Source organism: Homo sapiens, chromosome 21, assembly GCF_000001405.40.
Source record: "Homo sapiens chromosome 21, GRCh38.p14 Primary Assembly".
In the NCBI taxonomy this organism is placed as follows: domain Eukaryota; kingdom Metazoa; phylum Chordata; class Mammalia; order Primates; family Hominidae; genus Homo; species Homo sapiens.
This window is the reverse complement of record NC_000021.9, coordinates 35,998,502-36,024,252: the sequence shown is the minus strand read 5'-3', so window position 1 is coordinate 36,024,252 and position 25,751 is coordinate 35,998,502. Positions and strand designations below refer to the sequence as shown.

The 25,751-nt window shown below is 43.7% G+C and overlaps 2 long non-coding RNA genes and 1 pseudogene across 2 annotated transcripts in view; 2 read left to right on the top strand and 1 right to left on the bottom strand.

The window, feature by feature from the left end:
• Positions 7,696-8,219, top strand: RPL23AP3 (ribosomal protein L23a pseudogene 3; annotated as a pseudogene).
• On the bottom strand, positions 15,958-18,933 carry LINC01436 (long intergenic non-protein coding RNA 1436). Its single transcript, NR_110419.1, has 2 exons — positions 18,388-18,933; positions 15,958-16,934 (listed from the first exon to the last, which is right to left on the bottom strand). It is a non-coding gene; the product is annotated as a long intergenic non-protein coding RNA 1436 (long non-coding RNA).
• A 652-nt stretch (positions 18,934-19,585) lies between these two features.
• Positions 19,586-25,751, top strand: part of LOC101928269 (uncharacterized) — a 50,008-nt gene continuing 43,842 nt past the window's right edge. Inside the window, exon 1 of the long non-coding RNA NR_110418.1 lies at positions 19,586-19,689. This is a non-coding gene — a long non-coding RNA (uncharacterized LOC101928269). The remainder of the gene's footprint in view (positions 19,690-25,751) is intronic.

The window sequence follows — 25,751 nt, the reverse complement described above, 5'->3', positions numbered from 1 at the left end:
CAGAGAAGGATGTTGGGAAAGGCAGTGGTGGAGGGGGAGCAGTCTTCACCTTTGCTTTGTCTTGGCCATCATAGATTCTGGGACAGGAACCTCAGAAAAGGAGGAAACTTGGCCAGGCACGGTGGCTCATACCTGTAATCCCAGCACTTCGGGAGGCCAAGGCGGGCAGATCATTTGAGATCAGGAGTTTGAGATCAGCCTGGTCAACATGGTGAAACCCCGTCTTTACTAAAAATACAAAAATTAGTCGAGTGTGGTGGTGGGTGCCTGTAATCCCAGCTACTCGGGAGGCTGAGGCACTAGAATCACTTGAACCCAGGAGGTGGAGGTTGCAGGAGCCGAGATTGCAGCACTGCACTCCAGCGTGTACAACAGAGGGAGACTCTGTCTCAAAAAAAAAAAAAAAAAGGAGGAAACTTCAGGAGAGATGGGGGTAGGGGGGTGGGGGTGGGACCAGATGACTGCACTTTGAAAGTTGGCTGTGCCCTCTCTTTCCTGTGGCTTTGGTTGCCTTCAGCTGGTTCTAACATGCTCAGAGCTCAGGTACGGAGGCAGGTGGGGCTGCTGGCCGCCCGGGCATGCTGGCCACGCTGATTTCATGGGATTGTTTTCAGCCATTAGTGCGTATTGTGCAGAATGACAGGGAACAGGGCCTAGTGCCTCTTTTTCTCTTCTTTTGTTTATATACTTTTTTTTCCTCTTTATGAGGGAGAAAAAAGGGCTGACTCCCTTTCAAGGGACATGAAAACTGAGTTTTGTCTTCCCTTCCTATTACTGTCAAACAAAAGTCACCTTCAAACTCCAGCTCACATGGAGTCCGTCACTGGCAGGAAGCAGGGCCTTCACTCCTGAATGTATAACTTACAGTAAGTTCTCAGCAGACCAAAAAAAATTCCTTTTATCATGTTCTGGTTTTTTTCCTTCCACTGTTTTATTTCACTTACAACATCACTCAGGCCCAAATGGTATTTGTCAGGAGTAATTGGCAAACGCTGGAGGCTGTGTTCAAGGCTGCTTGAATGGAAAATCTCAAAGCAGTTGTCCATGTTGAAAGAAAATATTACATTTGATCTTTTTAAAAAATGATTTTCGCAGACATGATGCATGTCTGCATTCTTTAGCCTTACAACCTCTTTATATTTGGGAGGGGAAAGAAAACCTCCCTGCAGGAAGTAGCACTTCACAGTTAATTTACAGTACGTCGGAGAAGTAATGACAACACATGAAAAGTCATTTGAAAAACATGACTATGATTTATTTTATTAGCTAGCTCATAAGCCTGTACTGGTTTGCAGGTTGTTATGCATTGAGTTATGACTTCAAGCTTTGCATTTCATGTGTATTTCTCTAAGGATGTTTATTCTTCTGGATGAAAATATGCTTAAGGATGGTGGCAGCCATCCACGGGGGGTGGTGTAATACCTTCACATGCAGTCTCATTTCTAAGCTACATGCTTTTCCAGAGCAGGACATCATATAGCCAGCAAATGAGAATCATCTGATTAAACTGAGGCCCAGAGAGCAGGGATAACGTGACTGAGGCCATGCAGTGAATGGTGACTGGGTACCCTAAATCTGTTGTCATCATACTGTACCAGCTGGTTCCTCTGTGCATTTTCACTTCCAGGAACAGAGCATAGCATCAATGACACGGTTCTGAGGCTTTTAAATCCATACTACCCGCTATTAATATGCCTTCCTCCATGTTCCAGGGGTGTATGTGCACATGCCCAAAGGAAATGACACAGTCCAGGGACTGAGGATGGCAGAGCTCATAGGAAGTACCACCTCATATCTGCTATGCTGGGATAATTCTGGAACAGTCACATACCAAGAGCCACTTTGATGTTATAGAAAACTCTATACCAGGAGTTGGCAAACTATGGCCAGTTTCTATTTTTGTAAATAATTTTTTTTTTTCCTAAGCCGGGTATGGTTGCTCACGCCTGTAATCCCAGCACTTTGGGAGGCTGAGCTGGGTGGATCACTTGAGGTCAGAAGTTCGAGACCAGCCTGGCCAAAATGGCAAAACCCCATTTCTACTAAAAATACAAAAATTAGCTGGTTGTGGTGATGCATGCCTGTAATTCCAGCTACTCAGGAAGCTGAGGCAGAAAGAATGAACCTGGGAGGCAGAGGTTGCAGTGAGCCGAGATGATGCCACTGCACTCCAGCCTGGGTGACAGAGTGAGACTCTGTTTGAAAGAAATTTTTTTTTTCTAAATGCAAACTTTATTATGACAAAATATGTATAACATAAAATTTACTATTTTAACCATTTTAAATTGTACAATTCAGTGGCATTGAGTATATTCACACTTTGTATAACCATCCCCACTATCTAATTTCAAAACTTTTTCAGCACCCCAAATAGGAACTCTGTACCGTGAATCGGTAACTTTCCATTTCCCACTTTCCTGAGCTTCTAGTAACTTCTACTTTCTATCTCTATGAATTTGCCTGTTCTAGGTACTTCATGTAAGTGCAGTCATACGATCTTTTTACTTTTGTGTCTGGCTTATTTTACTTAGCATCATGCGTTCAGGGTTCACCCACGTTGTAGCACGTGTCAGAATTTCATTCCTTTTTAAGGCTGTATACTATTCCTTTGCATGTACGTGTATCTACACATTTCGTTTGTCCATTCATCTATTGATGAACACCTGGGTTATTTCCACCTCTTGGCTATTGTGAGAATAACATTCATATACAAGTATCTGTTTGAGTCCCTGCTTTACATTTTTTTGGGTATAGAGCGAAGCATGTGTAAATAAAGATTTTCACGTGTATTTGTTTGGCAGTTGCATATGGTTGGTTTCACTTCCCAACAGCAGAGCTGAGGAGGTGTGACAGAGACTACTCCGGTTTGTGGTTCACAAAGCTGAAAATACTTACTATCAAGCCCTTTACAGAAAAGTTTGCTGGCCTCTGCTAGAGCTGATACAGTACGTGCCCTGTTCGATGGCTCTGTTGGAGAGTGCCTCTCTCCATCACTGGCTTTGAACAAGGCCTACCTGTTTGCCTGGTACTTGGTACCCACAGAGTGATAGCATCAGGCATGCTCCAACCACCAGCAAGTTTGCTCGCCCCCTGGGGTCTGCCGTCCTCCCAGGGGTTTGCTGACGGCCATGAGATGCTGCTTTTTGGCTCTCCTAGAACCTGGAGCAAATCTTCTCTATACTGGGGCAGCATTTCTTTCCCTGCCTCGACCCACAGGTGTTAGTTTCCCAGGGCTGCCGTTACAAAGTTCCACAAGCTCGGTGGCTTAAAACAACAGACATTTATTCTTGCACAGTCCTGGAGGCTGGAAGTCTGAAATCATGGTGTGAGCAGGGCTGTGCTTGCTCTAAAGGCTCTCAGGGAGAATCTGTTCCCTGCCTTTCTCCCAGCTTTTGGTGGCGGCCGGCCATCCGTAGGGCTCCCTGGCTTGCTGCTGCGTCACTCCCATCTCTGCCTATGTGGTCACATCACCTTCTCCCATGTCTCTTTCTGTATCTGTTTCTCCTTTTGTCTTATAAGGTTCATTGCATTCAGGGCTCACACAACTAATGTAGGATAATCTCAACTTGAGATCCTTCTCTTCATGACATCTGCAAAGATATGATTTCCAAGCAAGGCCGCATTCACAGGTACTGGGACTTAGGGATTGGGCATGTCTTTTTTTGGGGGAAGGGGACACCATTCAACCCACTGCAACAGATAATGGATGACATTCAAATCCAAACGGCATAGATGTATATATATAGCTAATAAAATGACACATCCCATGAGTGGACTCCGATTTTGAGAAAATATAAGATTTTTTTGTTTTGTTTTGTTTTTAAAGAAACAGAGTCTTGCTCTGTCACCCAGGCTGGAGTGCAGTGGTGCAGTGATAGCTTACTGCAGCCTTGACCTCCTGGGCTCAACTGATCCTCCCACCTCAGCCTCCTGAGTAGAGCTTGGGGTTACAGGCTCATGCTCCTGCACCCAGCTGATTTTGAGAAAATATCAAAAATCTGGTAGGGAAGTAAGGCAAATAACGCTGCTTTTATTTTCCCCAGGGACATTGATAAACACATTCATCCACATGAGTAAAGCAGCCATGTAAAGGTCTCCAAAAACTAGTCACTGAAAATCATTTAAAATGTATTTTATTTTTTAGTTTTTTTTGGAGACAGTCTCATTCTGTCACCCAGGCTGGAGTGCAGTGGTGCAATCTCAGCTCCTTGCAACCTCCACCTCCTGGATTCAAGAGATTCTTTTGCCTCAGCTTCCTGAGTAGCTGAGATTACAGGCGCTCACCACCACACCTGGCTAATTTTTGTATTTTTAGTAGAGATGGGGTTTTGCCATGTTGGCCAGGCTGGTCTTGAACTCCTCACCTCAAGTGATCCACCCACTTTGGCCTCCCAAAGTGCTGGGATTACAGGTGTGAGCCAATATGGCCGGTCTAAAAATGTGTTTTAAGGACTAGATTATTTTTTTAAAGAGTATTGATTTTTTTCTTTTTCTGTATTCCACAGATAATTAAGCAAACAGGCCAAGGGTAGTGATGGCTCACACCTGTAATCCCAGCACTTTGGGAGGGTGAGGCAGGAGGATCACTTGAGGCCAGGAGTTTGAGACCAGCCTGCTCAACACAGCAAGACCCCGTCTCCACAAAAAAAAAAAAAAAAAAAAAAAAAAAATTAGCTGGGTGTGCTGGCACATAGCTGTAGTCCCAACTATTCTGGAGGCTGAGGCAGGAGGATTGCTTGAGCCCAGGAGGTTGAGGCTACAGTGAGCTAGGATCGCATCACTGCACTCTAGTCTGGGCTACAGAGTGAGAACCTGTCTCAAAAATACAACAAATAAAATAAATAAGATAATTAAGCAAGCGAGTACCACAATAAACACATTTAAATAAACACATTTTTGTTAAAAATCACAGTAAATGGAATTCACACATTTTTGGCTATGTAAGAAGAGTTCCAGTAGAGTAGCCTTGATTCTCGTAAGGGCTGCTAGTGGCTTCCTCTGCTGATGAGGAACACAGGACAAATCCAGGACATCTGATTTTTCTTGTGGTACGTGCATGAAAGCTAATCTGAATGACAATACTGGAAAAAAGCAAAGAAGAGTTCATACAGCCTGATGGCAGGTTTCTCCTCTTTGCTTGGAGAGAGGCAGGGTGGCATATTCGTTCATCAGCAGTGCAGGGGTTACTCACGTGTGTTTAGCCTTGACATCTTTCATGTTAAAAATCTATCTCAGGGCCAGGCACGGTGGCTCACGCCTATAATCTCAGCACTTTGGGAGGCTGAGGGGGGTAGATAGCTTGAGGTCAGGACTTCAAGACCAGCCTGGCCACCATGGTGAAACCCCATCTCTACCAAAAATACAAAATAAAAATTAGCCAGGTGTGGTGGCGGGCATCTATAATCCCAGCTACTCAGAAGGCTGAGGCAGGAGAATCACTTGAACCTGGAAGGCGGAGGTTGCAGACAGCCGAGATCACATCACTCCACTCCAGCCTGGGCAACAGAGCGAGACTATGTCTCAAAAAAAAAAAAAAAAAGAATATATTTCAGAATGAAATGCAAAAGAAAACAACAGAAACTATAAAACCACACCTTGCAAGCAGCAGAACAATTTGTATTTCCCACGGCTGCTCACTGTGGATCAAGGGCTTCTGGGTTGTGAGGGGAAGCATAGGTGGTTCATTCATTCTCACCTAACTTCTTTTTTTTCACTACAGAAAGCACATCGGAAGTGACATTATTTTAGGGATAATGTTTAAGCCATTTTAGGCTTTTGAAGGCATAATTTAATTTTATGTCAGGGAGAAGGCTAAATTTGGATTAATAACAAATTACTTGTGCACATCTCATAGCTGCTTGGGATAATGTTACGGTTGGTCTCAATGTACAAGATTATTTCCCTGTTGGAAAATTAGGGGCTTCCCCAGCCTGAGCACAGCAGTGTTACATAGCAGTAGAAATGGGAGCCACAGCTGAACTTTCTGGAAAAAGAAATCTGAGAGCAGGACAACATCGAGAGGGCCTTTCATGGTCCCACATAGAGCGGGCATCAGGATTCTGCGGTTGTCCGGAGCTGTGCAGGTAGAAATGGTGGTACCCAGGGCCATGCAAGTTTTTCTTGGCCAGACTGATCCTTCGAGGGAAGCTTTTTGGAGTGGTCCATTGAGAAATGGAGAGTGTGCTAGAATTAGACTATGAAGCCCTCATGGAAGCAATCAGCTCCACCAGCATCAAACCTCGGAGTTGTCATGGGGACACATAGAATGGTATCCTCAGACAGGGAGGGGCCCAGGACCTGTCACCAAGCCCAGGAACACCAGCTCTGGGCTCCACTTCCTGAAGCCCTGCTTGGCCTCCCATTCAAAATCACAAGGAATATCAAAACATGCCTCCCCAAATCTTACCACGCAAAATCTCACTCTGAAAGGGGAAGAAGAGAGGAAGTTAAGGACTGAGGAGGAGAAGCGAAGCGTTTCTTTTGTTTTTTTGAGGGTGTTTTTGGTTTGTTTTTTGTTTTTTTGAGATGGAGTCTTGCTCCGTCACCTAGGCTGGAGTGCAGTGGTGGTATCTTGGCTCACTGCAACCTCTGCCTCCCAGGTTCAAGCAATTCTCCTGTCTCAGTCTCCCGAGTAGCTGGGACTACAGGCGTGCACCACCACGCCCAGCTAATTTTTGTATTTTTAGTAGAGATGGGGTTTCACCATGTTGGTCAGGCTGGTCTCGAACTCCTGACCTCAGGTTATCCACCCGCCTCAGCCTCCCAAAGTGCTGGGATTACAGGTGTGAACCACCATGCTCGGTGGAAAAAGAGGGATTTTAGAATCATTTCACTATTTCCACTGAAAACTTGCTCCACTCCTCCACAATCATTCATTTTCATGGGGGTAGAGGATAGCGGTGGGGAGGCTTGGAGTGATGTATATTTGTCTCCATATCGTAATATTTCCTTCCCATTAAAATGTGGTACCTCCAAATTTGTGATATAGCATCGCAATGTAATCTGGCAATGTACAAAAAGAAAAGGAAATAAATGTTGGTCTGAAGTAGGGTAAATATGACATACAATCAGTGATGTCAGCAGCTATCAAAATTGTAAAACATAATCATGGCTCTTGATTCTAGCATAGTGAAGAGCTGGGTTGATGAACTGTGACCCATGGGCCAAATCCAACCTGATGCCTGTTTTTTGTTTTTGTTTTTGTTTTTGAGATGGAGTCTCGTTCTGTCACCCAGGCTGGGTGCAGTGGTGCGATCTTGGCTCACTGCATGCAACCTCCGCCTCCTGGGTTCAAAGTGATTCTCCTGCCTCAGCCTCCTGAGTAGCTGGGACTACAGGTGCGTGCCACCACACCCGCCTAATTTTTGTATTTTTTGTAGAGACAGGGTTTCACCATGTTGGCCAGGCTGGTTTTGAACTCCTGAGCTCAAGTGATCTTCCCACCTCGCCCTCCCAAAGTGCTGGGATTACAGGCACGAGCCACCGTGCCCGGCCCCTGATTCCTGTTTTTATTAATAAAGTTTCATGGAAACACAGCCACACCCTTCATTTACATATTGCCTATAGCTGCTTCGTTCTTACAAAGGCAGAGTTGAGTAGTTGCAACAGAGACTATGTATGGCCTGCAAAGCTGAAAATATTTACTATGAAGAAATAGAAAAACTTTACCAATCTCAATTTAAAAATTAAGATGGGCTTTTCACAAGATGGCACCGAAAGCAAAGAAGGAAGCTCCTGCCCTCCTAAAGCCGAAGCCAAAGCGAAGGCTTTAAAGGCCAAGAAGGCAGTGTTGAAAGGTGTCCACAGCCACAAAAAAAATGATCCACACGTCACCCACCTTCCAGTGGCCCAAGACACTGCGACTCTGGAGGCAGCCCAAATATCCTTGGAAGAGTGCCCCCAGAAGAAACAAGCTTGACCACTATGCTATCATCAAGTTTCCGCTGACCACTGAGTCGGCCATGAAGAAGATAGGAGACAGCAACACACTTGTGTTCATAGTGGATGTTAAAGCCAACAAGCACCAGATCAAACAGGCTGTGAAGAAGCTCTATGATATTGACATGGCCAAGGTCAACACCCTGATTCGGCCTGATGGAGAGAAGAAGGCATATGTTCCACTGGCTCCTGATTATGATGCTTTGGATGTTGCCAACAAAATTGGGATCATCTAAACTGAGTCCAGCTGGCTAATTCTAAATATATGTATATCTTTTCACATAAAAAAATTAAGATGGAAACCAAAGCAAAGATGAACTATGGAGATAGTCTAAGCAGTGATCTTCTACTATAACATTGGATTGCGTTTGTGTCTGCCTTCCCTCTTGCCCCACACCTGCTTTAATTTTTTTTTTTTTCTCTCTCAGATACTTCTGGGTAAAAGTGACAAGCCAACTGGCAAACCTGCAGAAATTAAATTACATGCAGAAGATGGCCTGGGATGGGAGCAGTGGCTCATGCCTGTAATCCCAGCACTTTGGGAGGCTGAGGCTTAAGGACTGCTTGAGGCTAGGAGTTTGAGACTAGCCTGGGCAACATAGCAAGAGCTCGTCTCTACTAAAAATTCGAAAAAAAAATGAGCCAGGTGTGGTGGTGTGCACCTGTAGTCCCAGCTACTTAAGAGGCTGAGGTGGGAGGATTGCTTGAGATTGGGAGATTGAGGCTGCAGTGAGCTACGATCACACCACTGCAGTCCAGCCTGGGTGACAGTGAGACTGTCTCTAACAACAACAACAAAAGGAAGGTGGCTTAAGATTCTTGTCTATTTCTCTCTTCCCAAAGGATCTGTTGGATATCTTCACTGTTGAGTTCACAGCACAAGTAGTTCTATGTTTCTGAAACACGGATTCACTTTAATCAGTTCCTAAAATGTTGCTAAATACTGACTAATGGATGTTTCCAACATTTGTAATGCAATTGAAAAGCCGCTAATCAGAAACACAGCAATCAAGTCATTTATCAAATATGAGAAGTCCCTGTTCACAAGACTGTGAATTCTCATGATTGATTCCATGACTATAAAATAGCATCATGGTTTTTTACATACTCAACTTGCAACGGCATACGCCCCATATTTTGACAATGGGGAAAAAAAGCCCAGTATCTTGTGTCTTCTTTAAATTGATGTTGAATATTCAGAGATTTGAGATTTTCGGGATGCCTGAGTCATATCCAACATTTTACTCAGCAATTTTAAAGAAATAGTGGATTGGAACAAAATATGCAGGATTGACAGCAGTGGACGGAACTTCCACCCAGGCTTGTCAGGGACTCATTTCTCCTGTGTTTCTTTCTGGGTAACTTGACTCAGCTGACACATCTAGGAAGTAAGATTGATTTGCTCACCCTTCAGAAGAGCACTGAGAAAAGAATCTGTTTCTCAATGGCTTTTGCAATAAAAGCTCATCAATTGGGACTCTGGAATAGTTTGGATATAGCAGATCCCTGAGGAGTTCTGTTTTCACAACTCCGACACAGGGTGGATTATCCTGGAGCAGTATGCTATTGAAGGGAGCACGGCTCCCACAGGAGTTTCAATCTCTACTAGAGGTTTTTTTGTTTTGTTTTTTTGTTTTGTTTTTTGAGATGGAGTCTTACTGTGTCGCCCAGGCTGGAGTGCAGTGGCGCGATCTCGGCTCTCTGCAACCTCCACCTCCTGGGTTCAAGCGATTCTCCTGCCTCAGCCTCCTGAGTAGCTGGGATTACAGGCACCCACCACCACGACCAACTAATTTTTGTATTTTTAGTAGAGATGAGGTTTTGCCATGTTGCTGAGGCTGGTCTCAAACTTCTGACCTCAAGTGATCCACCCGCCTCGGCCTCCCAAAGTCCTGGGATTACAGGCGTGAGCCACCACACCCGGCCTGCTGAGAGTATTAAGACCTTCACTGCGTCACTCCAACACACTTTACACTAAGCGTCCATGCCTTTCTTCTCCTCTCTAGGTGTAATCACCAAAGGCTCCCTGCTGTTTTCTGAGCTTGTGTCCTCAGTCTCAGAAGAGGGATTGGAGGGGGAACCCTGTTACACACAGCAGCGTCAACTTAAAATTGCACCTTAGCAGCTCTGTGTGTCAGGGCCTTCCAGCCCTTATGAAACTGACTTCTCATCCATTGCACCAGCCCATAAGCCTGTACTCCTCACGATCTCACCCCTTCTCCTTCATTTCTCTCTTATCCTCACCACATCCCTTTCAGAACATTCTTGTGAACTTCGAATTCTCATTGTGTTTTAAAAAATCAAGATATAGGCCAGGTGCGGTGGCTCACGCCTGTAATCCCAGCACTTTGGGAGGCTGAGGTGGGCAGATCACGAGGTCAAGAGATCGAGACCATCCTGGCCAACATGGTGAAACCCTGTCTCTACTAAAAATACAAAAAAATTAGCTGGGCATGGTAGTACGTGCCTGTAGTTCCAGCTACTTGGGAGGCTGAGGCAGGAGATTCACTTGAACCCAGGAGGTGGAGGTTGCAGTGAGCCGAGATCACACCATTGCACTCCAGCCTGGTGACAGAGCGAGACTCCATCTCAAAGAAAAAAAGAAATCAAGATTTAATCCACATATAAAATTCACTCTTTAAAAGTGCAAAATTCACTGATTTTTAGTATAATTATAACATTGTCCAACTATGACTACTCTCTCATCCCAGAACATTCTCATCACCCCCAAAAGAAATACCTTACCCACCAGCAGTCACTACCTACCACAGCCTCCCTTCAGCCCTAGGCATCCACCAACGTAGTTTCTGTCTTTACGAATTTATCTATTCTAGATATTTCATATAATAAAGGAAGCTGGGTATTTCATATAATAAAGGGATCTGTGTCATGTAATAAAGGAATATAAAGGAACCATACAATGCATGGCCTTTTGACTGGCTTCCTTCACTCAGCATAATGTTTTCAAAGTTCATGTTGCAGCATATATCTGTACTTCATTAATTTTTATGTGGAATAATATTCCATCGTATGATATAGCATGTTTTATTTGTCCATTCATCAGTTGATGAACATTCATTTAGGTTGTTTCCACTTTTTGGCTCTTATGAATAATGCTGCTATGAACATTTCTATACAAGTTCTAGTGTGAACATGTGTTTTTAATTCTCTTGGATATATAACTAGGAGTGGAATTTTGAGGAACTGCCAAACTGTTTTTAAAAGTGGCTGCACAGGCCAGGCATGGTGGCTCACACCTGTAATCCTAGCACTTTGGGAGGCCGAGGCAGGCAGATCACTTGAGGTCAGGAGTTCGAGACCAGCCTGGGCAACATGGTGAAACACTTTCTCTACTAAAAATACAAAAATTAGCCAGTCATAGTGTCATGCACCTGTAGTCTCAGCTACTTGGGAGGCCGAGGCAGGAGAATTGCTTGAACCCGGGAGGCGGAGGTTGCAGCGAGCTGAGATCATGCCATTGCATTCCAGCCTGGGTGACAGAGCAAGACTCTGTCTTAAAAAAAAAAAAAAAGTGGCTGCATTATCTTACATTCCCACCAGTAATGTATGAGGGTCCCAGTTTCTCCACATCCTCACCAACACTTGTTTTTTGTCTTTTACATTGAAGCCATCCTAGTGGGTGTGAGGAAGTATCTTGTGGTTTTGATTTGCATTTAACAATTGAATTATTTATCCTTTTATTGTTGAGTTGTAAGATTTCTTTATATATTGTGGATGCTAGACCCTTAACAGATATATATGATTTGAAATATCTTCTCCCATTCTGTGGGTTGCCTTTGCACTTTCCTGACAGTGTCCTTTGAAGCACAAAAGTTTTTGATTTTGATGAAGCCCGATTTATCTATTTGTTTCATTTGGTTGTTTGTGCTTTTGGTGTCATATCAAAGAAACCGTTGCCTAATTGAAGGTCATGAAGGCTTATACTTATTTTTCTTTTCTTCTAAGAGTTTTAGAGTTTTAGCTCTTGCATTCAGGACTTTGATTCATTTCAATTACTTTTTGTATATGTTAAGAGATAAGGGTCCAACTGCATGACATTGGTCTGGGCAATTATTTTTTTGAATTTGACTCCAAAATCACGGGCACAGCAAAAATAGACAAATGGGATTACTTCAAAGTAAAAAGCTTCTGCACCACAAAGGAAACTGTAACAGAGTGAAGAAACAACCTATAGATTAGGAAAACATATCTACAAACCATACATGTGATAAGGGGTTAATATCCAAAATCTATAAGGAACTCAAACAACTCAATAGCAAGAAAACAAATAATACAGTTAAAAATGGTCAAAGGACTTGAATAAACATTTCTTAAAAGAAGACATACAGGCTGGGTACGGTGGCTCACGCCTGTAATCCCACCACTTTGGGAGGCCGAGGCAGGGGATCACTTGAGCCCAGGAGTTCGAGACCAGCCTGGCCAACATGGTGAAACCCCGTCTCTGCCAAAAACCCATAAAAATTAGCCAGGTGTGGTGACACACACCTGTAGTCCCAGCTACTCAAGTGGCAGGGCACAAGAATCGCTTGATCCCAGGAGGTGAAGGTTGCAGTGAGCTGAGATCATGCCACTGCACTCTAGCCTGGGCAACAGAGAGAGACTCTGTCTCGAAAAAAAGAAAAAAAAAAAAAAACAGAAGACATACAAATGGCCAACAGCTATATGAAAAAGTGCTCAACATCACTAATCATTAGGGAAATGCAAATTAAAACCACAATGAAATATCACCTCACACCTGTCAGAGTGGCTATTATCAAAAAGATGCAAGATAAATGTTGGCAAGGATGGAGAAAAGGGACCCCTTGTACACTGTTGATGGGCATATAACTTAGTACGGCCATTAGGGAAAATTGTATGAAGATTCCTCAAGAAACTAAAAATAGAATTACCATATGATCCAGTAATCTCTGGGAATATATCCACAGGATTTGAAATCAGTATGTCAAAGACATACCTGCACTCCTGTGTTCCTTGCAGCATTATTCACAATAGCCAGGTTTTGAAATCAACCTAAATGTTCATCAGTGGATGAATGGATAAAGAAAATGTGGTATGTACACAATGGGATAATATTTAGCCTTAAAAAACAAGGAAATTCTCTTATTTGCAACAACATGGATGAACCTGGAGGACATTATGCTAAATGTAATAAGTCAAGCACTGAAAGACAAATACTGCATGATTTCACTTGTATATGGAATCTGAAACAATCAAACTCACAGAAGCAGAGAGCAGAAAGGTGGTTGCCAGAGGCTGGGGTTGTGAGAAGAACAGGGAGGTTATGGTCAAAGGGTATAAAGTTTCAGTCAGAAGGAATAGGTTTCGGAGACCAATTGCACAACAGGGTGCCTATAATTAACAATGGTGTATTGTATATTTCAAAATTGCTGAGAGTAAATTTCAAATGTTCTCACCACAAAAAATGATAAGTATTTGAGGTGATGAGTATGTTAGTAGCTCGATTTAATCATTCCACATTGTATAAATATATCATAAATCTTTGTACTTCATAAATACATACAATTATAATTTGTAAATTTACAGTGAAAAATATATTAACTATGAGTTTTTGTGTATGCCCTTTGTAAGGTGCCCTTCTATTTCTACTTTATTCATTGTTTTTTATCATGGAAGAGTGTTGGGTTTTGTTACATGCTTTTTTCATGTCAGATCATGTGTTTTCGCACTTTATTCCATTAAAGTGTATTACATTGATTGATTTTCATATCAACCAACCTTGTATTCCTGAGATAAATCCCACTTGGTCATAGTACATAAACCTGTTTTTATGTTGCTGTTTTCAGTTTGCTAGTATTATGTTGAGGATTTTTGTTTCTATATTCATAAAGGATATTGGCCTATAGTTTTCTTTTTTGTAATATCTTTGTTATGGTTTTGGTATCATGGTAATACTGGCCTCACAGAGTGAGTTTGGAGGTGTTTCATCTTCTTTTTGTGGAAGAATTTGTGAAGCATTGGTGTTTTTCACTATTTTGCACTGCAATTTAGCTCTTCTCAGCCTCTATTCTAAAAGGTAAAAAGAGGCAAGTGAGAAGGACCACATTGTGCTTCTAGATGTCATCAGTGTGTGATACCTAGATCTATGGCAGCCTCTCTGGGAATATAGTGGGAGATATTCCCAAGTCAACATCCTAAGGGTGGCAGAGGAGAAAGAAGGAAAGAACCCACGTACTTTATGAGTAATTGAATAATTAACCTGGAGCCTCTCTGTCTCCATACCTCGTATGGACATGTCTTTGTTGTTGTTTAAGCCTCGTTTGCTTAGGGTTTTAATCATTTGCAGCTGAAAGCATGTCTGATAGTTAATATCATATCCATTGCAACAGGAGCATTTTCTGTTTATTGTCTTCCACTTTCTGTGTCATCAGGCTGAGAACACTAATTGTGCCTACAGAAAAGTCTCCCGAGGGAGAAGTGACAGTCACTGGTTTCTGGGTAAAGTAAACTAATGACAACCTCAAGGTTACATGGAATTCAAGTCTGCCGGAGTCCTCTGGGCTGAACTGAATATTTCAGCATCCTTGAGGGTTAACATTCTTGCCCCTTGTGTGAAGGTAGTTAAAATACAGGACAGATTGGGTTTGGAGAGATGCACAGTGGACCCGAATTGTTACTCATGCACTAACCTTGTGTATGTGCCAGGGTTCTCCAGAGGAATGCAACAAATAACATTCTAAGATGGCCCCCATTCCTGCCTCTGGTGAACATACCCTATATAATCTCCTTCCTTCTTAAGTGTGGATGGGACAATGAATACAATGTTATAAGACAAATGTGAAAGGGTTTTGTAGATATAATCAAGGTCCCAAATCAGCTGATTATGAGGCAATTAAAAGAAAGACCATCCTGGGTGTGCCTGACCTAATCAGGTGAGTCCTTAACTGTCTAGATCCTTTCTGAAGTGATAGATCTGAAGTGGAGAGGGCCCATTGAGGAGACCATGTGTCAAGGGCTTGAAAGCAGCCTCTAGTCACTGAGAATGCTTCCTAGATGATGGCTAGCAAAGAAAATGGGGACCTCAATCATAGAGCCACAGAAAAATGAATTCTGCCATTGACCTGATGGAACTTGAAGATGGCACTTTTCCCAGTTGAACCTCCACATGAAGATGAATCTGGCTAGCAAATTGATTTCAGCCTTGTGAGACCCTGAGCAGAGAATCCACTTAACATGTGCTGGGCTCCTGGCCTACAGAAACTGTGAGATTATAAATTTGTACTGCTCTAAGATAACTAGGTTTATGGTCATTTGTTATGCAGTGATAGAAAATTAATACAGGCACCATTTCAAATATTGCACCTTTATATTGGAAAAAAAGATAAAGATCAACAAAGAGCAAATTGCAAAAAGTAATGTTTGACAATGCAGAACATGACAGAGATGAAATGTTCTGGCGAGTTGCCTTTTGTTTTTCTTCATTCAACTTTGTCACTTCTAATGAAACTCCATGGACAAGAGACTGGATTGGGCAGAATTTAGGGGATGCACTTTTATCTTCCTCCAGATGGTTGAGCACACATGCTCAGCCCTTGGGAGGCTAGTGCACCTGTGTGGCCCTTGTCCTGGCCCTGGGACAACCTTGGCCAATGGAAGTCACAATCGGCCCTGGCCTGTACACATTCTGGGGTTCCTTCTGTCAACAAGAAATCTACTCTAGGTGAGACCATCCAAGTTAAAAAGAGTTACAGCTTTGACAGAGAGTACCTACAATACATGGGACAGATATCTGGTTGAATTGTTTTTCTCTATGGTGTGAGACATGGTTATTTCTTAAAATCTTATAACCCAGTAGAAATTATTTGGGCGGATCAGTTTGCTATGCAGCCCCACTTGTGCTATGACCAGTTTTGGCATCAGAGTAGTTAGGGATAGCAGGAAGATCATGTCCCATCTACAAGTGACTAAATTATTTATAAATTGATTTTTAAAAGTGATCAAAACTGCCGACCTTTTATTAACCTTAGAGAAGAAGTTTTTGGGATTATTTTTTAATGTCATATATCTGTACAGAACAATTTTCTTTTCTTTCTTTGGCTTTGATGGGATCAAAGGTAGTCGTGAGAATTTCTAGCTTGCGAGACAGTGGAAAATGAGAAGAGAAGTGCATACCTTTTTTGTTGTTGCACTGACAATGAAAATGAGAATCAGATGGAGGGCTTTTTTTTTTTTTCAAATTTAAAAAATGTCCAGTCATTTGTACAAATGCTTTAAAAGCCTTGAGATTTTAGGAATGTTGTATTTGCAATTATTCTCCTTTAATAATTAATTACTAATATGTTTTAATCACTGAGAACCTTGTTTTGATCATTAAGAATTTACAATGTAAAGATTATTTCAAGGTCAAATTTCAGATGTTAATCATCGTAATGCATGTAAATCTCTGCTGAATTCAGTTTAAAAATAAAAAGTAAATCATTAATTCGAACTGGCATACTTACTGGAAATTGTCTTTTATTTTTCTTTGCTGTGGTTCAAGGTCATTTCTTTAATCAAACCTCAGAGTTGGATATAGAGTCATCAAAAGAAAAATCATTCTTCTTCCTCTCTGTTTCCCTAAAAATAAAACAGTCACAGGAGACCTTTCCTTTTTTCTTAATTGTTCTCATCTCATCTTTAATTATTGCTGCTGCTGTTATGTGTTTATGTTTCCCTTTTTTTTTTAAGTTTTGAGGGTAGATCGTGTCACTGGGCGTAAGATACTGAGAAATCAGGTAGCTTCACTGGCTGGTAGGGGACTTTTGCTTTTGAAACGTCACAGGCTGTCTTCCTTTGGATGTAATGGACGTCCTGATGACCCAAGCCATCTGCTTAGCTGTGTTCTGACCAGGGCCTTGGGGATATGGATGACCAGCATGGGTTCTAGAGTGGGCTTCCCCGGGTTTGAGTCCTCAGCACCACTTATTAGTTCTGTGACTGTGGAAAGTTTCCATCCATCCTGTGCCCCACCTCCTCATCTGTAAAATGGGGACAAGAAAAGCACCAATTACTTAATTAGCCAATTAATTAACTAGAGATGGTGTTGCCCGGCCACTCAGGCTAGTGCACAGCAGTGAGATCACAGCTCACTGCAACCTCGATCTCCTGAGCTCAAGGCACCCTCTTGCCTCAGCCTCCAGAGTAGCTGGGTCTACAGGCATGAGCTACTGCATCTGGCCAGGTAATCTATTTAACTCATTCTACAGAGAAAATGTGACTCTTTACTTTGTCTTCTTTTCTTTTTTTTTCAAACGGAGTCTTGCTCTGTCCCCCAGGCTGGAGTACAATGGCGCAATCTTGGCTCACTGCAACCTCCACCTCTCAGGTTCAAGCGATTCTCCTGGCTCAGCCTCCCGAATAAGTGGGATTACAGGTGTGAGCCACCACACCTGGCTATCTTTTTTGCATTTTTAGTAGAGATGGGGTTTCACCATGTTGGCCAAGCTGGTGAACTCCTGACCTCAGGTGATCCACCCACCTCCCAAAGTGCTGGGATTACAGGTGTGAGCCACCATGCCTTTACTTTGATCTGGTCTTCTCCTGAACCCACTCCACAGGTTATTGGGTAAAATATGACTTCTAATCCCATCCAGTTTAAATCTTAGTGTCATCCAATTTAATTTAAAAAGTCCCTGTTGAATTTACATAGCTTCTTTTGGTAACAGCCCAAAGAGAAACATGCTCAAAGCGCTGCCCCTTGTGTTTGTCCCTAAAATGTTGCAGGGTGTGTGGTGAGGTTGCGTGTTTACACAGCTTCCCCCCCATGCTGATTCTCCTGTCTGTAACTGGTGAACTTCTGGTCTGTTCTTTGGGCTCAGGCACTATCTTGGGGACACATCTGCTATCTCTCCCTGGCTGGCTTTTGCTACCTGCAGACCCCAGGCTGGGATCCACAAGGCCAGGGAGGTACTTGGCTTACTGCCTCTCAGCTCAGGGTCTCTGCTATGGGAGAATGAAGTGGCCTGGGACAGCTGATCTTTGAGGTTTCCTTTGAAATGTTTTTGCCTTTTGTTTTTAAAGAGTTTTAGAGACAGGGTCTTGCTCTATTGCCCAAGCTGGAGTGCAGCAGTGTGATCATAGCTCACTGTAACCTTCAACTCCTGGGCTCAAGTGATTCTCCCACCTTTGCCTCCTGAGTAGTTGGGACTACACGTGTGCACTGGCACTCCTGGCTAATTTTTAATTTTTTTGTAGTGATAGGGTCTTGCTATGTTGCCCAGACTGATCTCAAACTCCTTGCCTCACACGATCCTCCTGCCTCAGCCTCCCAAAGTGCTGTGATTACAGGCGTGCCACCGCCCCCAGCCCAGACTGCTTTGTGGGCTGTCGAATTTGCTAGGACATGTCCAAGCTCTGGATTGGTATATGGGGCAGCCTGTTAGGTTGCTCTTTCTATAAACTGACACATGGGGAAAGACAGGATATACTCACTGAAAAACAGAACACCTGTTGGCTTGGCTTGACCTCCTGGCTTCAGGTTCCCATTTTCCCACTTTACCCCTGGCATCTTTCCTCCTGGCATCTCCATCCCCATTTTTGCTACTTTACCACTTCTTGTTGGCGAACCGCTGAACAGTTTTTATAAACATTTCCTGTTTTAGTCTTCCACGCCTGGCTCTTGATATGCCAAGTGGAGAAGAAAAGCTGGACATTCTTTCTCAGGTCACCAGCCCAGCCTGAAAGACTAGCTCTTCCTGCAACATCTTTCTCTTGAGTGCATGAAGGAGAATCTCACGTTGGTCTATCTCCTTGCATTCTTTCTGTATTCCTTATGTTTCCACTAGGCAGAGGGATGTCTCCAAGATCAGAGCAAAGAAAAACTCTGCCAAAGAGAAAAGCACGTTAATGCTTTCTGCAAGGCTCTTGGATTGGTCGGAACCCTGAGAGCGCGCCAACAAGCAAAACAAGGCGGTGTGGAGCAACACACTGTTTCAGTGAGCGCCTGGGTGCAGATGGGCTGAGGCCTAAAATGGCGTCAGCCCCAAATGAGCACGGGGCAGGAATTTTATAGTCTCCTGTAAACAGGAAGTGTCTCAGTCTGATGTAACTGCTACGCGGTAGACAGACGGCCTCTCTCTGGGTCTTCAAGGGGTGCATGTCTTCCCGCCAGCTCTCCTCCTGCTTCTGCTGTCTTGCTGACGCACGCTGCGCCTTGGGACTGGGCCTGAGAAGAGAGGAGGAGTTATTCACATACCACCAACGGACCCACCCCCCCCGCACCCCTTCCCCCGGCCCCCCCGACTCCCCCCTCCCCCTGCCTCTCCCTCCCCCCTTTCCCCTGCCCCCCCTGCCTCCCCCTCCTCCCTTCCCCTGCCTCCCCCTGTCTCCCCCTCCCCCCTTTCCCCTGCTTCCCCCTGCCTCCCCTCCCCCCTTTCCCCTGCCTCCCCCTGCCTCCCCCTCCCCCCCTTTCTCCTGCCTCCCCCTGCCTCCCCCCCGCCTCCCCCCGCCTCCTCCCCCCCGCCTCCCCCCGCCTCCTCCCCCCCCCGCCTGCCCCCCGCCTCTTCCCCCCCCGCCTCCTCCCCCCCCACCTCCTCCCCCACTGCTGCCTCCCCCACTGCCTCCCCCGTCCCCCTCCCGCCCCCACCACCGGCACCAGCTTCCAAGCTCTGGGTAAAGTCTTTCACTTTCTAAACTGCTGCCCTTCTAGTGCTGATGCTGGACTGAAGCTTCCTGCAGGCTGGGATCCTGTCTGCATATCTCGCAATGTGTTCCCAGGACCAGGCGTAGTTTCTGGTAAAAACTCAAGGAATATTTGTTGAATGAGTTAATGAATGAATAATGATGATAATTCATACCAGAGTTGCCTATAAATAAGCGTACGGTGAACCCCGTGAACAAGTCATTTTCACTTGGAAATTGGACGTCAATATAATATTTTATACTGCTCACTGTAAATATTCCTTACTGAGGTAAAATGCCATCAGATTACCAGTAAGAGAATGTAGTTAATGTTCCTATATTTTGCTTTTTTGGGTCAATCATTTGGTAACAGCAATTAGAAAAGAAATTGGAGAGTACAGGGCCTGTCTGTGGAAGTTCTTCAGAACCTCAGTGCCATTGTCAAGAGAAAATGACCTGAGTTTTTCGCACTTTAGAGGGGGTGTTAACAATGAGTGCTTTCCCGATTCGATGCCATCACCAGCCATATTTGTGTTGAATCAGGTGCCTTATGGTAAAATATGTCATAAGTATACAAATATTTTTCCAAAAAAGTCTGTACTATGCGCTATTTCTTTTTGTGTTTCACTCACAACTATGTCTTCTTTTCTATCATCACACTTGGCTAATGATTGTTAGTAGATATTAGTCACCATAACTCTCCAGCACAGGAGAAGCTTAAAGAGAAAACTTCCTGGCGCACGCCTGTAATCTCAGCACTTTGGGAGGCCGAGAGGGCACATCACCTGAGGTCGGCAGTTCGAGACCAGCCTGACCAACATGGAGAAACCTAGTCTCTACTGAAAATACAAAATTAGCCAGCCGTGGGGGCGCATGCCTGTAATCCCAGCTACTCGGGAGGCTGAGGCAGGAGAATCGCTTGAACCTGGGAGGTGGAGGCTGCAGTGAGCCAAGATCGCACCATTGCACTCCAGCCTGGGCAATAAGAGCAAGACTCCGTCTCAAAAAACAACAAACAAAAAAACAAAAAGAGACAAGTTCCATGGGAGGTGGCACGCATTGGATGAAAGTGTAGTTATATAAAGAAATATGACTTAAAAGAAAGTAATCCAATGCTGGAAGCAAGGAGAAAATAATAAAGGATAAAAAGATAAATGGGAAATCTGAGCTAATGGTATTGGTTAGGCTAAGAAGGCATCTGCATGTTTTCACCTTGATGGTGTCAGTTGTGGAGTGCCTGGTAGAAGTGTTGTGAGCTGCCAGAAAGGCTGTGCACTATACTCTTCAGAAAAATCTATCAGTAGGGATGAGTTCAGTCTGTCGTGGGCATGTGGTTTAACACAATTTAGGACAATTTAGTTCCAGGACCTTACCTCTCCCTTAAATGATCATATGTTATAGACTGCCTCTTGGCCCATTTGCAAAAGAGGTATTTTACGTTAGCTCATTTGCAAAAGAGGTATTTGTCAATCCTCATGGAGTTTTATAGTCGTGTACCTTGACGAAGGAAAATATTAAGAACCATAGGCCAATGGCGATTTAGTGCCAGAAACCAGAAATCTCCATCAGCTAGTCACTTTTGATGATTTACACAGATTTTACACATGTTGGATTAAGTGCCTTCTGAATTATGTCTCACTGTTTATAAAACAGTAATTGCTTTTAAGTTTAGCAGCAGCAGATTTTTGGATCATAAGGATATTGAGTGAAAAGCTCTCATACCTTATTTATTAAATGCTGTATCCACATTTTTTTTCTCCCATCAGAAGCTAAATACAAGTGGTTTCTAAGACGTGTATTTTGACATACTTTATCATTTGGATATAAAATGAATGTCCAAGCGTTTCTGATTGAATGGAAGTCCCTTTCAATTATATAAAAAAGTAAAGACTAGAAATAGTATCATCTTCTCCCATGCATATGGGATTTTATTATATATATAGTTGATTTATTTTAGAGGTATGGTTTAACCCGTGGTATTTGTACATTGATATATTATGGATCAAGTTGTAACAGAGTAATACCTTAAACCCCTCCACCATTCTACAGAGTTTTATTTTATTTTATTTTATTTTATTTTATTTTATTTATTTTTTTTGAGACGGAGTCTCGCTCTGTCGCCCAGGCTGGAGTGCAGTGGCCTAATCTCGGCTCACTGCAAGCTCCGCCTCCTGGGTTAACACCATTCTCCTGCCTCAGATTTTATTTTATTTTTGAGATGGAGTCTTGCCCTGTCACCCAGGCTGGAGTGCAGTGGTGTGATCACGGCTCACTACAGCTTCCTCCTCCCCAGCTCAAGAAATCCTCCCACCTCAACCTCTTGAGTAGCTGGGCCCACAGGTGCATGCCACCATGCCTGGACAATTTGTTTTAGGTTTTTAGTAGAGATGAGGTCTCACTATGTTGTCCAGGCTGGTCTTGAACTCCTGGGCTCAAGCAGTCTTCCTGCCTCGACCTCCCAAAGTGCTCAGATTACAGGTGTGAGCCACCACACCGGCCTCTTCAGAGTCTTAATAGTTGACTCTGTTAATATTTCTGGGTTATCCTCTATCATGAACTGAATTGTATTGTCACAGAATTCATGTTGAAGTCCTAACTCCCCAATGTGACTGCATTTGGGAAAAGAGCATTTAAGAAGATAATTAAGATTAAATGTGGTCATAAGGGTGGTGTCCTCATAAGAAGGCAGTGGGCCAGGGGTGGTGGGTCACGCCTGTAATCCCAGCACTTTGGGAGGCTGAGGTGGGTGGATCATGAGGTCAGGAGTTCGAGACCAGCCTGACCAACATGGTGAAACCCCGTCTCTACTAAAAATACAAAAATTAGCCGGGTGTGGTGGTGCGCGCCTGTAATCCCAGCTACTCGGGAGGCTGAGGCGGGATAATCATTTGAACCTGGGAGGCAGAGGTTGCAGTGAGCTGAGATCACACCATTGCACTCCAGTCTGGGTGACAGAGTGAGACTCTAAAAAAAAAAAAGAAAGGAGTGACACCAGGGTGTACATGCACAAAGGGGTGACCTTGCGAAGATGCAGCGAGAAGGTGGCTATCAGCAAGCCAAGGATAGAGTCCGCAGGAGAAAACAAACCCGTGGACACCTTGATCTTGGACTTTCAGTCTCCAGAACTGTGAGGAAATTAATGTCTGTTGTTGAAGCCCCCTAGTCTGTGGTATGTTGTTATGGCAGCCTCAGCAAACTAACGGATCCTCTTTCTAAGGAAGTAAGAATTGGGCCACAGTTGAAAATCCAAGGATTCAGGAAATGCCAACAGATCAAAGCCACTGTGCACTTAATACCTTACCCTATTGAAAACACCTTTTTCTTCCAGTCATTTGAATAATAAAAAAAAATCCACTGGAATTGGAATGATCAAAGTGAGTATATGTAAAAGCCAAGAGGTAGAAGGAAGTTTGTCTTCTAAGGTGGGTGAGAAACCTAGAACTGTTAGCACTGCCTGGCAGGCTCTGCGGGGTCCCCTTCAGTTGTCCTCAAATACCTAGTTATTGGTTTGTTCAGCAAGTGCTACATATATGACTGACGCAGAGATTCCAAACCTACGTAAAGGCAAGCATAGAAAAAGCGCAAATGAGAAATTATTATGGAAAAATCAGAGAAAATCCATAAAGGGTCTTCTTTAGTCTATACTGCTACTCTCAGTGAGCACATCCGTTGTGATAGGAGTGGTCAAGACACAGTTGGAGACAAGCGTGCTTCCTGGAAGCCTGAAGTCAAATGCACCAGGCCATCCTGCTGACCAGCCCCTTCACAAGTGTTCACAAGCATTCACTCGTTAGCCTCCCAACACTCCCAAGAAGGCGCTGAGCATCTTTGTCCTCTTTTTTCCTACTTTACCGCTTCTTGTCTGGTGAACTGCTGAGAGGCTCAGCAAATTGCCCAGTATTGGCTCCCAATAAGACTCCTCCACACCCTGCAGCATCGAGCTAGATTTCCTACCCCCACCGAAGTGTCTTCTGGATGCTGCAAATCCCACAGTCAGTCCATTTACCTGTAGCTCTGCAAATCTGGTCCTATTCCCAAAACAACATTACTTGATATTTAAGAAGCGACCGGAATTCTTATTTTTACTTGCAATTTCAAGGCTTTTTCCTTTCTCCAAATCTCCTTGGGCTATAAATTAATCTTAGTCAAAACATGCTTTTAAGAGAAGGGGACTCAAAGTGGGACAACGACTTGTTCTTTTTGAAATTGCAGATAATTTAACAGGGAATAACCTTTGAAGAGGAAATATGACCTGCGCAGAACATCGCAGTGGGATTTAAGGAGGCTCTATGTCTGAAAGCCTCATCTCAAAGAAGGGAGGTATTTGGTTTCAAATTATCAAAACAGCCTTGTACTCTTCTTGGAGTTATTTTGACATCCAAATAATAGTTCTGGCATTTCTTTCACAGTGTAAATCAATAACATTGACTTAGTGCATTCTTTCCTCTTATTTTCATTCCTTACTCTTTTATAAACTTAAATCAAGTATTAATAATTATTTTAAGCCTTAGCTTAGGTTTGGTATCTTGCCACTTACTGATGCAGGAGGCATCTCCCCCCTCTCCCCTTCCTTTTACCAGTTGCCCAGCTCTTCCAGAATATTCTCTTCTTGGGATAAAGACTACATTCATCGTCAAAGGCAGATAAGTAGATTTAGTGGTCGCCTTTGACACATCTCTTTTTCTTCTTTTCCAGTTCTCACAGTCTTAGAATGCAACACCTTTCTCCTTTTTTTCTTTAATCATAGCCTCTTATCATGAATTCCTCCGTGGTCTCTCCCCAGGGTTTCTGAAGGATGACCTCAGAATCAGCTGATGCTTGTTGCAGTGGCACTTCTTGGGCCTCACCCCAGACCCAAAGAATTGGAATCTCTGGGGATGAGGACCTAGATGGTGCAGTTTTAACAAGCACACAGAGATGCTTATGGCATGAACATGTGGGAAGCCCTACCTCACACCTTCCTGGCTTTCCAATTCCTACCATTCCAGTTAAACTCAAAGTAGTTATTGAATTCTTACATGCGAACTTCTGATATGGATATTACTGCATTTTCAAAAATATTCACACAAGCTCCAAAGTCCTCGTGATTGACTTTCAGACTCTGCAGGATGCGGGGGTAGTATAGTGGGGAGGGGGCAGAGAGACATAAAAGGGGGTGGGAGGGGCTTGGAGGTCAGTCTAACCTAGGTTACATTTCCAATCCAGCTGCATAACTAGCTGAATGACCTTGGGTGAGTGATTTCATTTTGTGAAACTCAGATTTCTCTAAGTGGGGGTGATAATCAATCATGCAGAATTGTTTCAGGGCTGTTTAGGAGGATTAAATGAAAGAATGCATGTAGAGTTAGGAGGTGCTACTACGTGACAATTTTTTTTTTTGGGATGGAGTCTCGCTCTGTTGCTCAGGCTGGAGTGCCGTGGCGTGGTCTTGGCTCACTGCAACCTCTGCCTCCCGGGTTCAAGTGAGTCTCCTGCTTCAGTCTCCTGAGTAGGGATTACAGGCACCTGCCTGCTAATCCTGCTGATTTTTTGTCTTTTTAATAGAGATGGAATTTCACCAAGTTGGCCAGGTTTGATCTCGAAATCCTGACCTCAGGTGATCCACCGGCCTCGGCCTTCCACAGTGGTGGGATTACAGGCGTGAGCCAGCGCGCCCAGCCTATGTGACAACTTTTATTGCTCTTTAGTTTATTTCTTTTGTCTTTTTCATTCCTATACTTCTATTTCTTGGTTGTCTTAGTTCCTTGTCTTTTTTCCATATTATCCTCTTGGAGAACTTTAAGGTCTTATCTTAGCATCTTCTTTTTCAGAAACTCCTCTCTAAAGTGATTTCAGCTTATTCATACCTTTTATTCTTGACCTTGTTAGGTTAACTGTGTAGAAATCCCTCAGGTGGGGAGTACCCAGTAGGTATCTGCTGTTTTGGTGTGTTTAGCACTTCTTCCTCCAGTAACAGTACCTCTCTTCACCTTTGAGGTCCTGCTGGTCCTCCCCTAACATGTGTGGTTGTGGGGGGCTGAACGGGCACCTGACGCAGGGTGTGCTGCTTATGGTGCCACATCCTTCCCACCATGGTGATTGGTCCTGGAGTTGTCAGGTAATGCAAACGGGGCCAATCAGCGTCGTTCCCCGTAGTTTTCTACATTGGACTTGTTGGTAGAACTTACTTTTGTTTC